General features: G+C 49.4%; 3 annotated features.

The window, feature by feature from the left end:
- Positions 2534-3309: an enhancer, noted in NCBI's record as "H3K4me1 hESC enhancer chr2:45203067-45203842 (GRCh37/hg19 assembly coordinates)". NCBI's record gives its function as "activates a minimal SCP1, AML or CMV promoter by ChIP-STARR-seq in naive H9 embryonic stem cells {active_cell/tissue: H9 hESC(naive)}" and the evidence as "EXISTENCE:reporter gene assay evidence [ECO:0000049][PMID:30033119]".
- Positions 3310-4085: an enhancer, noted in NCBI's record as "H3K4me1 hESC enhancer chr2:45202291-45203066 (GRCh37/hg19 assembly coordinates)". NCBI's record gives its function as "activates a minimal SCP1, AML or CMV promoter by ChIP-STARR-seq in naive H9 embryonic stem cells {active_cell/tissue: H9 hESC(naive)}" and the evidence as "EXISTENCE:reporter gene assay evidence [ECO:0000049][PMID:30033119]".
- Positions 6038-6905: an enhancer, noted in NCBI's record as "NANOG-H3K27ac-H3K4me1 hESC enhancer chr2:45199471-45200338 (GRCh37/hg19 assembly coordinates)". NCBI's record gives its function as "activates a minimal SCP1, AML or CMV promoter by ChIP-STARR-seq in naive H9 embryonic stem cells {active_cell/tissue: H9 hESC(naive)}" and the evidence as "EXISTENCE:reporter gene assay evidence [ECO:0000049][PMID:30033119]".

Raw genomic sequence — 15989 nt, 5'->3', positions numbered from 1 at the left:
CTGTCTCAAGGGGAAAAAAAAAAAAAAAAAAAAACGCCCCTCAATTCTCAACATGGCGTGAGCAGTGGCAATAGCAACTATATAGCATTAATATTTTAAATATTATGAACTTCTATCAGGAACCATATGGTTATTAAAGACTTAGGTGTATCATATATTCTCTGGGAGATCCGATTTTTTGTTTGTTTGTTTGTTTGTTTTGTGAAACAAGGCATCACTCTGTCACCCGGACTAGAGTGAAGTGGTGCTGTCACATCTCACTGCAGCCTTGACCTCCTGTGCTCAAGCGATCCTCCCACCGCAGCCCCCAGAGTAGCTAGGACTACAGGCGCATGCCACCATACCAGGCCAATTTCTGTATTTTTTGTAAAGTTAGGGTTTCGCTATGTTGCCCATGCTGGTACCAAACTCCTGGGCTGAAGTGATCCACTTGCCTCAGCCTCCCACGGTGCTGAGATTACAGGCATGAGCCACTGCGCCTGGCCTGACAGTGGTCATGATTTTATGAAGTGCAGAGATAGAAAGGCTATCCACTCAATAATTCAGAGATGAACCTGATCTCTAACTCCAAATCCTGCACTTTCCAGCCAGTTGAAGGAATGGGCATGTGTGTGGTGTGTGTGTGTGTGTGTGTGTGTGTGTGTGTGTGTGTGTGTGTGTGTCTGGAGGACAGAGTTGGGAGAGATGGCCCCTGTCATGAAATCCTTCTCTACCCCTTCAGGCAAACAAACCCTGGCCCTGTGGTCCCTAGACCCAACCCCAAAGTTCTCCTTTATATGAACAAAGGAAAGAGCCTGGGATCTGGAGTCAGAGATTTGAGTTCCAATGCTGATTCTGCCATTGTAATTCCAGGTGATTTACTCAACCTCCCCTAACCTTAGTCTCTACCTCCGTAAAATGAGTTTACCATCCCCCTGGCGTGGCTGTGGTGCCCAGTGGATGCTTAGTAAATGCCAGTGGCCATCACTCTTACACCTTCCTCTGCTCCAGTGGCCCCATACCAGCACTGTCTCTCTACTTCCCTGTCAATCTCTGTCATTTTGGCCTGGCCACACTTCTCCTCCCTCCTTTTCCAACTCATCCCAATCTTGCTTACACCTAAATCTCCTAACTCTCCCAGAACTGGGCATCTGAAAATAGCTCACTCAGTATCTCCAGCTATGCAAAAGAGGGCCTGATTATGTCTTCCTTAAAGATTGCTACTGGCTGTTGCCTGAACAGAGGAGTGGGTGCCTAGTCAGAGAAGAGAGATGGTTTCTTCCAGCAAGCCTTCCCTAGAACAGTTCAAATCTTTCTGGCATATTTCTTTGCCAGAAAAAGTCTGGAACTTGTTTTGACTTTGTCCTTCCCCTCTCCTGTGTGTGTTGAGACAAGTCCCCCAAACCTATGGCTTTGAGTGCAACCCCCATACTTCTACATCTTCCCGCTTCTCAACCCACCCACCCTTTGTGGATGGTGCCAGGGAAGCACACTGATGCTTTGTTTAAGAAGTGGGAGGAACTGGCAGTGTCAACTCCTCAATGTCTTGCATTCAGATGTGTTAATCCTTTTATTTGCTCTGTGTCCTTAGGCAAGTCGCCTAACCTTTCTGGGCTTAGGATCAACATATCCTGGTGGAGGGAGGAAATGGTTGCTTCATTTTCCTGAGTGTCTAGAAGGAGCGAGAGCAGATTCAGTTTAATCACCGCAAAGAGGGGTCATTAAAGTTTAGAGAGAATGATAGCGATGTCACTAGACCCAAGGTTCACAATGCTTCCCTGCACCCTCTTTCCTATCCAGCCATCCTTGATACCTGCCTCATAAAAGAAACAGAAGACGTAACCCTTAGGCATTCTGTACAGGGAAGATAGGCTTAAAAACAAAAATGACAGCATATGTGACAAGCACTACTCTGGCCTTATGGAAAAGCACTCCAGGTGCAGGTGAGTGAGTGACCAACTCCTCCTGGAGTGGGGTAGCTGGGCCCAGATGTGATTTGCACACTGGCTGAGCACAGCGGGCTGAGGGAAGGGAAGGATACGGAAGGGACGCCATGCATTAAGGGATAGTGTGCCATTCACCAAACTGGGGCATTCAGGAGGAGAAGCAGGTTTCCCACAAAGGATGAGGAAAAAAATAGTCAGTGTGAATGTAGACATGCTAGGTCATAGAAATGGGAGGCTACAGCTGGAAGACCACAGCCCAAGAGCGTCTGAACCCAATGAACCCAATGCATTCTTTTTTTTTTTTTTTTGAGACGGAGTCTCACTCTGTCACCCAGGCTGGAGTTCAGCAGCGCTATCTCAGCTCACTGCAACCTCCACCTCCTGGGTTCAAGCAATTCTCCTGCCTCAGCCTCCCATGTGGCTGGGACTACAGGTATGTGCCACCACACCTGGCTAATTAGTTTTGTATTTTTAGCAGAGATGGAGTTTTGCCATGTTGGCCAGGCTGGTCTCAAACTCCTGACCTCAGGAGATCTGCCTGCCTCAGCCTCCCAAAGTGCTAGGATTACAGGCGTGAGCCACCGCACCCAGCTTCCAATGCATTCTTGAGGGAAGTATGTGCCCAAAGGACAAGCAAGAATAATAACCATAATCTTTGTCATAATGATGATGATAACTACAATAGTAACCTGCATTGACTGAGCACTTACTAAGTGCCAGGCAGTTGCTTCGTGTCTTGATTTGTTGTTTAATCTTCATAACAAACCCATAAGGTGGATATTGTTGCCTTCATTTTACAGATAGGAAAACTGAAGTACCAAGGGAATGTGTAACAAAGCTCATTATCACATACCACTATGTGCCCAAACCCTGACATGGTGCCCTCGTGGGCCAGGTGGGACAGACTCCGTTTACTCCCGGCTAATGACCACAGCACCACGAGCCACCATGGGCCAAACAGTCACTATGCCTGTCCCCTCCCAAATTGGTTGTGAGCTTCAGTAGCTCCAGTGGTGAGAAACAGGTCATCTAGTAAGAAACAATCAAGGTCCACAGCTGAGCAGGCCCAGGCTGCAGGCCCACGCCCGCCTCACCTGGCCAAGGGTGTGTGAGCCGCCAACAAGCAGGGAGGCTGAGGAGGCAGCCGAGGGAGCAGGAGGCGGCCTCTCCCCCACCAGAACTGGCCCGGCTCCTCCCACCCCAATTCCGCTTATTTAGACCCCTCTTTCTACTTGATTAGGGAATTCCATGTCTAGGCCAGGATCCTGACCCACTACTGAAGGGGACTGGAGAAGGGGTAGAGAGGCGGGAACAGAGAGGAGCCTCAACATCCTCCCGCCCCCGGCTTCTGCTCTTTCTCCTGTTAACTCACCGGGTTGAATACACAAGTCCGGGAGCCTGACATCACCGCTACTTCCACCTCCAGGGAGGAGTCTTGCTGCGCATGTGTGTGCGTGTGTGTGCGTAGGGGTTGGGGAGGTCCCCACCACAACTTACCTCTGTTTTTCCCTGAGCTCTGGCCCCAGATCAGTTCACAGATATGCTGGACACACGGCTGAAAGTTAGGCAGCAACCAGGACAGCTGGATCCAGAATCCCGGAGGGGCCAGGCTGAGGAGCTTTCTGCCTCCAGGGCCTGAGAGGCGGGGCTTAGCCAGGGCTGGGGGCTGCATAGTTCCACACCAGCCAGGGTCTTGCCCACAGCCCAGCAGCTCCTCTCTGAAGCACTGGAATCCCGCTCACCCCCTCCCAGCTCAGGAAGTCCCTTAGGTAACTCTAAATATAAAGACCATCTTCTCCCTCTGCTTTTACCTCCCAGTTTGAGCAAATAGGAAGCTGCTGCTGCTGCTGCTGCTGCTGCTGCTATTAGAAAAGTGATTTTGTAGCGACTCTTGTTTACACAAAACTTTTGTCAAGAGTCCTAGAATCTTAACTTCTTTCAGCCTCAGTTTCCTCACCTGTAAAGTGGGACTAATCGCTTAAATGGGATAATACATGCAAAAAGTTATCTTAGTCCCCTCAGGCTGCTATAACAAAATGCCAACCTTACGAACAACAGAAATTTATTTCTCAGGGACCTGAAACTGGCAAGTCCAAGATCAAGGCACTGGCAGATTCGACGTCTTGTGAAGGATCCCTTTCTGGTTCATCACATGGTGGAAAGGGCAGGAGATCTCTCTGGGGTCTCTTTTATAAAAGCACTAATCCCATTTATGAGGGTTCTGTCCTTGTGACCTAATCACCTCCCAGAGGCCCCACTTCTTAGTACAATCACACTGGTGATTAGGTTTCAACAGATGAAATTGGGAAGGTCAGCCGGGCACCGAGGCTCAAGCCTGTAATCCCAGCACTTTGGGAGGCCAAGGTGGGTGGATCACCTGACGTCAGGAGTTCAAGTACAGGCTGGCCAACATGGTGAAACCCTATCTCTACTAAAAATACAAAAAAATAGCTAGGTGTGGTGGCACGCACCTGTAGTCCCAGCTACTCAGGAGGCTGAGGCAGGAGAATCGTTTGAACTGGGAGGCAGAGGTTACAGTGAGCCAAGATCGCACCACTGCACTCCAGCCTGGGTGACAGAGCAAGTCTCCGTCTCAAAAAAAAAAAAAAAAAAAAAAAGAAAGAAAGAAAGAAAGAGAAAGAAAAAGAAAAAGAAACTTGGGAGGTCACAAACATTGAGACCATAGCAAAAGCCTAGCACAGAACATAACTCCACAACTGCCGGCACTCAGCAGAGTCTGGTGTTTCTCCCTTCCTCCTCCACACCCTTCTCAGCACTGGGACTAGGAGAGGAGAAGGACCAAGCCACCTCCGGCAAAACAGGCCCCTGTGGCTGTGGCTGGACTGAGATTCTGTGGTCAGGTCTAGGCAAGGGACACCTTAGACCAAAATGGGGTTCTAGAACGAAGAGTTTCCAAAGCTCAGGATGTTACACGAAAACAGAATGCCTCAGAGTGACTGAATGCTGGTCTTTAATTCAAGGGGTACCTCACTACTTCTAGGAATGGGATGGGATTCATCCTGAGGAAGCCCCAGGGGTAGATAAGGGACCCATAGAGGGCGCTATAGGAACAGACTTTGAGTCAGGAAGAAAGAACTCTTCAGAGGTGAGTCCAGAGATGGCTGGGCTGGTTTGGAAGTGACGAGTTCTCAGTCACTGGAGGTGATCAGGCAGAGGCTGGGTGAGCTCAAGAGGATTTGGGACTGGAAGAGGTACTAGAGTAAATGACTTTCACCTTCCCTAATCTGGGGCTTCTGAGTCTATCAAAATAGGTAACTGCCAAGAGGTATGATTTGAGGACCCTTCACCCCAAATCTCTCTTTTGTCCATTACCGGTGCCTGACATTCCCCGGTTATAGATGCATTGCTTTGGGTTAAGACACTGTCTCTTGCAAAATACCAGGCTTCCTGGTTGGTGTCACCCTGGTTCATCAGAGACCTGATCTTGGACTTTCCAGCTACCAGAACGGTGAGTGAGCCAAATATACTACTTTTCTTTATCACCCAGGCTCAAGTATTCTGATATGGCAGCAGAAAATGGACTAAGATAGATGTCAAATTTTTTGTAATATATATTTCACAATAAAAAATTACACCCTCCAGCGCTGGGGATTCAGAGAGGATCAGTGAGGGAGGCTACAGATTCTGTTTCCACAGATACAGCCCGCTGGCCCTTTGCCATGGATACCTGTGCACTGCCCACCCCCTTCCTCCATGCCTGCAGTGGTGGCTGGGCCCCGGGACCTACATGCATGGGGGAAGGGTGCTAGTAGGGCTTAAGGGAAGGAGCTCCAAGGCTTGCTGAGTGAGAGGCTCAAATATCCAGTAGCTCCACTTAGGACTGAACACAGGGGCATGGAGATATAGAAAGCTAGTTGGAGTGATGGCTGAGTGAAGCAGTGGAGTTGCCAGGAGCCTGAGGGCACACCGGGGGCAACCGGAAGGGGAGGAGTAGGAAGCTCACTAGGGGCAACAATCCTGAAAGTATCCTCCCATTAGAAAGGGGCTTCATTGTCCAAACGAGCATCCTGTGGTCAGCGGCAGCTGCAGAGTTCTCGTGGAGAAGGAGCTTAGAGCAAGCACTCTTTGGGTACGTAAACAATAGGACATTTCGTGCCCCCACTGCTCCTGGAAAAAGCAGCAGGCTTTGCTCCGTGATGCAAGGAGGAAACAGCAGGGAGACTGCTTCTGAGTCGGTAGAAGGAAGAACTTTCTAGCACAGATGCAGATGGACTGGGCTTCCTTGAAAGGTGATCAGTTTCCCATCCCAAAGGTGTTCCAAGATAAGCTGTCCTCTGCAGATTCAGAGCTCCCTGTATGGGAGAGTGGGAGGAGATCCCCTGAAGAGGAGGTATTGTGTAAAGGAGTGGCCGCTGCTTTTCAAAGATGCCACTAATCCTCACAGGAGACTATCTGGCCCAGGGCACTAGATAATCCCAAATTGTCATTCTGGAGTTTCCTTTCATCCTGAAGCCTGGCGTGAGGGGCCAGGCAGCAGAGCCCACTCCCTGACACTTCCTGGAGAGAGTGTCAGGTGGGGGCACAGACTGGCTTTCTGTTCCTTTGCCTGAAATGCTAGGGTGGAGAGAAGACTGGCAGGAGGATGGGAACAGAGAGACATGGCATGTCACCCTCACCCTCTCAAAGGGCTACTTCAGAACCTAAGAGCTGGTGGCCCTGGACTGGGCTGGGCTGGAGTGGGAGGACTCTGGGCTCCCAGTATGTGGCAGGTATGAGGTCAGCCCACCCCACAGGCAGGATGTGTCCTGGGCCAGATGACGTGGGCAGTTTTTGCAGCCTCTATCCTTGGGGCTGAAGAATGGACTCTCATGAGAGAGCTGCATTTTTTTTTTTTTTTTTGAGACGGAGTCTAGCTCGGTCCCCAGACCAGGCTGGAGTGCAGTGCAGTGGCACCATCTTGGCTCACTGCAACCTCTGCCTTCCAGGTTCAAGTGATTCTCCTGCCTCAGGCTCCCAAGTAGCTGGGACTACAGGTGTGTACCACCACACCCAGATAATTTTTGTATTTTTAGTAGAGACGGGGTTTCACCATGTTGGCCAGGATGGTCTTGATCTCTTTTTTTTTTTTTTTTTTTTTTTGACACGGAGTCTGGCTCTGTCAACCCAGGCTGGAGTGCAGTGGTGCTATCTCAGCTTACTGCAAGCTCCGCCTCCTGGGTTCATGCCATTCTCCTGCCTCAGCCTCCCAAGTAGCTGGGACTACGAGCAGCTGGGACCACAGGCGCCTGCCAACACACCCGGCTAATTTTTTTTTTTTTTTTGTATTTTTAGTAGAGACGGGGTTTCACTGTGTTAGCCAGGATGGTCTCGATCTCCTGACCTCGTGATCCACCCGCCTTGGCCTCCCAAAGTGCTGGGATTACAGGCATGAGCCACTGTGCCCAGCCGGTCTTGATCTCTTGACTTCGTGATCCGCCCACCTCAGCCTCCCAAAGTGCTGGGATTACAGATGTGAGCCACCACGCCCGGCCGAGAGCTGCATTTCTAAGAGGTTCTAGAGAGGACAGCACTCAGCCCCACAGGCTTGAGTGATCCCCCATGGTGGGATTGAAGGTGGGATTGGCAGGTTAGATGAGGGCATCTTTGGGGACAGAGGAGTTTTCTGGCACTTTTTCACCCCATCTCGCTCCCTGTCCCACCTGGGGACTCATTTAGCCTACAGAACAATCACTGGTACTGCCAGTCAGCACTTCCCCAGGCAGGAAGGTCTGGGTATACTTGAAGGTCCCAGATCGGCTGCACATGAGAATCACCTCCAACGCATGTTAAAAACACAGACCCTTAACTGTGAAGCTCCCTTGCTTCAAGGAGCATCTCAGTAAAAGCACAGAATCCTATAGCAAGTGAATACATCTAGGAACAAGAGCTGAGATGGGAGAGTGCCATCCCTGCTGGAGATCTTGCCTGGGAGGGTTAAGGATCGGGTGGCAGTGAGAGGGTCGTGCATTCCGGGCTTCATGGGCGTCCCACATTGAGCACTTACGGGCATGTGCAAGCTGCCGAGGACACACGGACGGATGGCAGAGCTACACGTGCAGCCTCATGAGACAGCCAGCAAACCGTCTGATGATCTCTCCAGTTGTCTGGGCTCCAAAAATGGCCCATGAGTCACCACTGCAAGGCCCCCAGAGCCTGGCAGACAACCACACTCAAGCCAAGCTCCAGAGATGGCCTTGGGGAGAATCTGACTTTCTGGGGGCCCTTCCCCAGGCTCTGCTGGAACCTTCGCCACACCTTGCTTCAGCCGCTCCTCAGTGTCTATGGCTGGGTCACCGCCCAAGCTGATGCGTGTTTAGAAAACCCAACAGGGGGTGTTTTCTCCTGGTGACAGGCAGAGACAAGGGGGAGCTCAAGTGAGCTGTCACCTCAGAGGATGCGCAGACCTGCCTCCAGTCACACATCACCTGATCCCCAGGTCAAAGGCAGAGGTCAAAAGGGGTCCAGGGAATCATCTGACAGCTCAAGCCGGGGGACAATACCGAGCACCAGCAGAACAGTGTCCTGCCTGCAGATTCCCCACCGTGGGGAATGCAGGGGGCCGGAAGGAGCAGAAAGGCCCTGTCTCTAAACCTGGGACCTTTTCCTCAGGGCAGAATTGCTTTAATCTGCGAGTAGCTAAGCAAAGATGCCCCTCCATCAGACTCTGGTTGACTGTAGATTCTTAGCCATGATAATCTGATTAGCAAAGAGCTCGTTTCTCTGCCAGGCCTTCCACCTTCCTCCGCTCACGCAGTGCTCACGTAACACTACTCGTACAGTAATTCAAATAACAATGATGGCTGGGCACAGTGGCTCACACCTGTAATCCCAGCACTTTGGGAGGCCAAAGTGGGAGGATTGAGACCAGCCTGGGCAGCAAAAAAAAATTTAAAAATTTAATTTTTTTGTACAACTACAAAAAAATTAAAAAATTAGCTGGTTGTATTGGCACATGCCTGTGGTCTCAGCTACTTGGGAGGCTGAAACAGGAGGATTGCTTGAGCCCAGGAGGTAAAGACTGCAGTGAATCATGATTGTACCACTGCACTCCAGCTTGGGTGACAGAGCAAGACACTGTCTCAAAAAAAAAAAAAAAAAAATAGCTATCACTTGCTGAGTTGTTCATATGTCCAAGCCCTGTTCAGACCTGCACTTGCATTCCTGTATGTTCATCATGGCAGCCCTCTGCCTTCCTGTGCTGCGTTGACTTCCTGGACAACACTCTCTTGGTTTTCCTCCTGTGTCCCCGGTCACGCATCAGCTTGTTTTGCTGGCTCTTCCTCGTCTCTCTTCTCCCCAGCCCATAACAGTTGGAGTGCCCAGGGTTCTGGCCTTTTTCCTTTTCTTTTCTCCTTCTCCACTCTCCCTTAGTGAGGTCATCCCACTCTGTGGCCTTAAACATCATCTCTATAAAATCTGCCGAAAACTCGAACCTGTCCACCTCTCCCGAGCTCCTACTCATAGGCCCAACTGCCCACTTAACCTCTCTATCTGAATGTTTCACAGATGCTCAGACTCAACATGTCCAACCTGAAATCCTGATTGCTCCTGTTCCTACCCCAAACATGCCTCACTCTCACCCTCAACTCTCCCAGTTCCTGCCAATGGCAGCTCCCACCTTCCACTTGCGCAGAACTTCCTACGGTCCCCAATTTCCTTGAGTGTGAAGCAATTCCCTGTGATGACCTGTAGGGCCTGGCGGACCTGCACCCTGACCCAACATTGTTTCTGTGCCTCCCACTTCAAGTTACACTGGCCCCCTTGCTGTTCCTCAAGCACAGCAGGCATATCTTAGGCCTTTATTGTAGCTGTTCGCCCTTCTTGGAACACATTCCTTCCAGATATTTCCTTGGCTCACCTTCTTCAAGTCCTTCTCACATCTCACTTTTTAACAGAGGCCTAAACTGACAACTCCATTTCTTGCCACTGCTTTCTCCCACCCCACCCCACCCCACCCCTCCTGGTCCCCTTACCTGGCCTCACTTTTTATTATTCCTTGTTACCTTCAAACACACTACATGTTTTACTTATTGATTTTGCTTCCTTTTCACTGTTTCCCTTTAGAGATGAGGACACATCTTTTTTGGGTCCATCGATGTCACTCAAGTTTCTGGAACAATGCCTAGTACATAGTAGGTGCTTAATAAACAATGTTGAATTGACTCACATAAGGTGCTGAATCTCCTCCAGGCCAATTTGAAGAGCTTCAGAGGCTGCACATCAAACACACTAAAATGTCACCATGCTCACATTAAGTTTCCTGCTTACAATTTTCTGTGTATAGAATCTTGACACATTTCATTTATGATTGGCTTTGATGTCTCAATCATTGGGCATATTTGGGAAATATGAGATCCTAACTTACAATTTGATTTCAAATATTTTACAAATATTAAATATTTATTTATTTATTAGTGACAGTGTTTTGCTCTGTTGCCCAGGCTGTAGGGCAGTGAAGGGATCATGGCTCACTGCACTTGAAACTCCTGGGCTCAAGCGATCCTCCCACTTCCGCCTCCCGAGTAGGTGGGACAACAGGCAAACACAACTGCGCCCAGCTAATTTTTATCTTTATTTTTTGTAGAGATGTGGGGTCTCCCTGTGTCGCCCAGGCAGGTCTCAAACTCCTGGCTTCAAGCAGTCCTCCAACCTTGGCCTCCCAAAGCACCGAGATTACAGGTGTAAAGCCACCACACCCAGCACAAATATTAAATTAATGAACTTTGGGTATACTAATAAAATGTGTATCAATGGGATTTTTATAGTTCTTGTTTCATATTTTGGACTCATAATGTATTTTCAAGATCTGAAACATTGTCATAGGCCCCGTGACTCTGGTGCCTACAGGAAAAAGTCTGATAATGTCAGCGGTGGAGCTGAAGAGTGGACAAAACCCACCCGCTAAGAGGACAGCCTTAAAACCTGGTTCCGGAGATGTCCTCAGTCTTGAATGACCTTCTGATTTTTAAACATTCACTCTCCATGAGGCATGGCTGGGCAGCTTTCCTCAGGTTCCTGGAGGCCCAGCCTTATGATCGAGACTCTTCTTGTGTTCATGTCCATATGCATGTGTCCTGTGAACCTTGCTTTCTGGGAAACCATGTGACTCTGTACTCTGAGAAGTCAGAAGAACCCCACCTACCCTCTCTCCAAACTCTAGGTCCTGTTTTCTTTGTCATTTCTGCACATATGGTTGCTAGATGGAGCCTAGTCTCCCTCATTACCTTCCTACCTGGGATCCCTACAGTCGTGAGTGTCTACAGTGGGCAAAGCATACAAGAAAAAGGGCTCCTGTATATAGCTGGTATAAGCCTCTGCAGAGTCACAGTTCAGTCTCCTGATTGTAAATAGCTGGGCATGCAAACAACATTAGCCTGTCTCATGAAGCCAGGACATGGCCTGCCCCCACCCTCACTGTATGTTGTCACCCCCTGTCCATGCTGCCTGCACTCACACTGAGCCCCAGGAATGCTGGTGTCCCACCAGTTCCCCATCTGTATGGTGGCCTTTGGGTTTGGGCTCTGAGCTTGCACCTTCACACCTTCAGTTTCAGGGTAACCTGGACTTGCTCTGCAGCTGTCTTCGTCCTCTTAGGGATCCCTCTGGTTTCTGGCTCCTGTTTAAAAAAACAAAACAAAACAAAACAAAAGCCATTTCTTCAACACTTCCAGATTCACCAGGCTGTGTACAGACATATCTCAGCAACCTTGCAGGCACAATATTCCTACACCAGGATGTTCCTTCCCTCAGACCTCCAGGGAGTCTCATCCTGCCTGCTGTCTGCTCTTTTTCCCCACCCCTAGCCCTTGACATTGGGGCTACACATGGCATGTGGCATAAAAGGAACATGAGCCTGGGAGGTATTACAGATTTAGTTTCCGATTCTGAATATGCCACTCTCTATCTCGGTGACCTCAAGTATGTCATTTAGTGCATTATTTAACCTCTCTGACCCTCAGGTTTCCATTAGTCAAATGGGTTTTATAATAATATTTATATCTCAGAAGCTCTTTAAGAATTCATGTAAAGTACCTTGGATAGTGCCCGGTGCAGGGTACGTACTCACTTAACCTTAGGCTTCCTCTGACTTTGCCTTTCTGCCCTCTAACATCTATAAGTGCTGTTTTTGAGGGAGGGGGTCTTGGCTTCAGTCTTAATTCACGCCATCTTCCAACTCAGGCTCACATATGTCAGCACAGCCAATGTGCTGAGTCCCCGTGTCTTCTCTCCTTCACCAGCCCTTCTTAGAGTTCTGCCTAGTTCCTTAGTGCGATAATGTGTATGAGGACACCAGGGTGGGGGTGGACCTCTGCTATACCAGGGCTCTCTGTGACCCTGTCTGTGCTTGCTTCACAATTCTTCTAAAGTGCCCCCTTTGCTCTCCCCCTACTAGACCCGCATTCTATGGTCAAGAGAAAGAAAGGTGAAAGGCTGGGTCTTTTCATACAGTTTGACATTAATCCTGAGTCTTTCAGAAATGGTGAATTTAAAAAGCACTCCGCCTTGATAGTAATGAACACATTACATTTTTCTATTGATGTAATAGGTCTGCATTTGTACATCACCCAGGCAGCCCCCTAGATTTCTGCAGAGCCCAGCACTTTGCTGGCTCCCCACCACCCTCACTGAGGCACAAATGCTTGCAAAGAATGTTCCTCCCCAGGAGCGTCAGCAATGGCTCTGGCCTCTAAGTCGTCGGATGTCAGATTTCTTTTCGGAGATGATTATTTGCGTTGTCATTTATCCCGTGTATGTGGCTCAAATTTTACAATATATGTTACAATATATCCCTCTGTCCTCTGTCCTGACTACCAAGGCCAACTGAAGAAGAGGGGCCCATCTCTGAAGACTGGAAGCTGCTCCTCCAGCTGGCTTGGGATGTAGGTGGCCTTGTCTGCAAAAAGAGAGAGGGATGAAATCAGTGGGTTCTCGGGCTTTTGCAGCCCTCGATCTCCTGTGACAGACAAGAGCCTCTCTGCTGCTGCTACAGTTGTCACAGTGGAAACCCCTTCCCCAAAAGGCAAGTTGTCACCAGCCTAGCTGCCTGCATGGGGGCCTGGGTGACGAATGTCTTGCAATTATTCTTCAGTTGATGCCAGAAACAAAAAGTATATACCCCACACCAGTCCCCAGGACCCCTCTTAGCAGGGTGAGTCTTGGGGAATGCAGGCTCTGGGCCCATCTCTTACCACATGCCCTTCACCCACCCCACCCCTATTTCCCTGCAGATGAACCAAATTAAACTGAACAGCCTCAAAGGGAGAGGTTGCCAAAAGACAGTCTGAGGGGAAATGGGAAGAAGCAATCCCCCATTCTGCTTTAGGGCTGGGGACAAAAGGGTTCCTTCTTCCTTGAATACTGTTAACCACAGGCCTTTTGGGGGCCCTGCTGGAGGAGACATCCCATGGGCTCTCCCCTAAATCACATGAGATGACTCATCTCCACCCACATCAGCCACCCTGCTTTCCACACTGTAGAAACTTCTCTGTTCTTCCCAGACAACTGAATGCCAATATTTCTTAAGTTTCTTTCCTGCCAATAAATTCTGTTTTGTTCCAGGGGAAACAGGGTTCTACCATAAATGCTTTATTTGTGTGTGGTATTTACGGTGTTCGTCCACCTGTATATGGTCAGTGCTTTCCTTTTCACATCCAGCCAGCCATCCTGGGTCTTCCTGCAGGACGGACAGTCCAGAGACACTGAAACAGGCCCGTGCAGGGGATGGAGAGGATGTCCCCTGGCACTAAGACAGACCGCATTTGACCCCACTGTTCTCTGTCAGTCAATGGGGAAGGCACGTTTTAACAAGAACGGGGGTCCCTCTCAGGTTCTTTGAGGTGCCACCACTCCTGCTCTACCCACAAACCTAACACCTGCTCAATATCATGCCCATAAGCTATGAACACTGGGGACTAATCGAGAAGAGAGGTGAAGGGGAAACTGAGGCAAGGGCCAAGGCCAGGCCAGTGGGTATTGCTGCTTCCAAGGCAGCTGGGGAGGAGAGATTCCATTTCCTGAGCTAAGCTTGTTCCATTTCAGTTTGAACAGATGGAAATATAGTTCAATGTTTCAACATCATTTGCCTTTCTCGTGCTAAAATATTGATAAGTGCTGCCCGGGCTGATGCCCCCGCAGTTCCCAGCAGTAACTGGAGCATGATGTGTACTGAAGTGAGACATGGCAAAGCCTTTAACGAGTGTTTAAAATTCCTGGAATAATGCTCAACACTGGCTCAGCTCATTCGGCTCCTGAAAACTGCCCCCCCCCCCACCGCCCCCCTGTCGCCCCCTAATCGGCAGGAGGAGTGCGAGCACAGCCCGGCCCCCCTGCTGGTGGCAATTAGTGCGGCAGCTGCTCGTCTTCAGGACAGCAAACAATGCAGGGGGTGCCTGCATCTGCCGAGGCGGCTGAGCCAGGCAGGGAGGCTGGAGCACTGGGGAGGCAAGGACATGGGGAGCTGGCTCCTCCACCTGCAGGGGGCTGTCACACGGAACACAGACCCCAGGGAGAGGGAACACTGGGCGGGGCTGTCCAGAAAGGCAGATGAGGGAAGGGCAAGAAAAGGGGGAAGAACACCAGGTTTGGTGGCTCATGCCTGTAATCCCAACACTTTGGGAGGCCGACGTGGGTGGATCACCTGAGGTCAGGAGTTTGAGACCAGCCTGGCCAACATGGTGAAATCCCATCTCTACTAAAAAAAAAAAAAAAAAAAAAAATTAACTGGGCCTGGTGGTGTGTGCCCATAATCCCAGCTACTCAGGAGACTGAGGCAGGAAAATCATTCAAACCCAGGAGGTGGAGGTTGCAGTGAGCCGAGATCATGCCACTGCACTCCAGCCTGGGCGACAGAGCGAGACTCCATCTCAAAAAAAGAAAGAAAAGAAAAGGGAGAAGAAGGGAAAAGAGGAAGATGAAGAGGGTGGGGACTTAAGAAGGAAGGGGAGAGGAGGAAGAGAGGAAGTAGCCAGGAACAGCAAATCCCCTGGGAAGAGCTTGCCAAGCTCCGATAAGAGAATCCAATATGTGGCTGTAGAAAGGGAAAAAGGACCCTCAAGAGGGCCTCAGCCAGCGGCATCCCAGTCCTAAGACACCTCTCTGCAAGTTGCAGCCATGACAAAGGCCCCCAGACCCAGAGCTGAGAGGAAACCTACAGTGTGGACCTGGGATGTCACTTCCAAGCTTTAGAACAATCCAGGCTTCCCGGGCAAGGCTCTCCTGGGATCACAGTATCCCCCTTGTGGAGATCAAGTGGTCTAATTGTGGAATGTTAAACTTCTCACATACTTTAAGGTGCTGGGTGTTTGGTTCACAATTTTTGAAAACACTTGGCTGGGTGCGGTGGCTCATGCCTGTAATTCCAGCACTTTGGGAGGCTGAAGCGGGTGAATTACTTAAGGCCAGGAGTTCAAGACTAGTCTGGCCAACATGATGAAACCCCATCTCTACTAAAAATACAGAAATTAGCCAGGCATGGTGGTGGGCACACTAGTCCCAGCTACTTGGGAGGCTGAGGCAGGAGGATCACTTTAACCCGGGAAGTGGAGGTTGCAGTAAGCCAAGATCATGCCACTGCACTCCAGCCTGGGTGACAGAAAGATAATCCAACTCAGAAAAGAAAGAAAGAAAGAAAGAAAGAAAGAAAGAAAGAAAGAAAGAAAGAAAGAAAGAAAGAAAGAAAGAAAGAAAGAAAGAAAGAAAGAGAAAGAAAGAAGGAAAGAAAAAGAAAGAAAGAAAGAAAACTCTTTATAGATCTTTGTGAGATTGTTCAGAATAATGTTTTCCAGAAGGCCTATTTGAATCAAGAAGACAATGTCGGCTTTTTTCAACAGTGACCAGACTGTGAGAGAAAGCAAGGCTGTGCCCCAGAAAGCTGTGGGGTAGCCCCACTGGAAGGAATTCCAGGCTGGTGGGTGTATGGGACTTAAGTCAGTAGAACTCAGAGCCACTAACCGAAAGTATAAGCATTATTATTATACATGATTGTAGATTGATTGATTAACATTTACAACAGGAAAGAAAAAATAGGAAATCTACAATGGGTTGGAAAGCAAGACACAACAAACT

The sequence above is a fragment of the Homo sapiens genome, chromosome 2 (assembly GCF_000001405.40).
Source record: "Homo sapiens chromosome 2, GRCh38.p14 Primary Assembly".
Taxonomy (NCBI): Eukaryota; Metazoa; Chordata; class Mammalia; order Primates; family Hominidae; genus Homo; species Homo sapiens.
The sequence above is the reverse complement of the archived record's forward strand: the minus strand, read 5'-3'. Positions and strand labels throughout refer to the sequence as shown.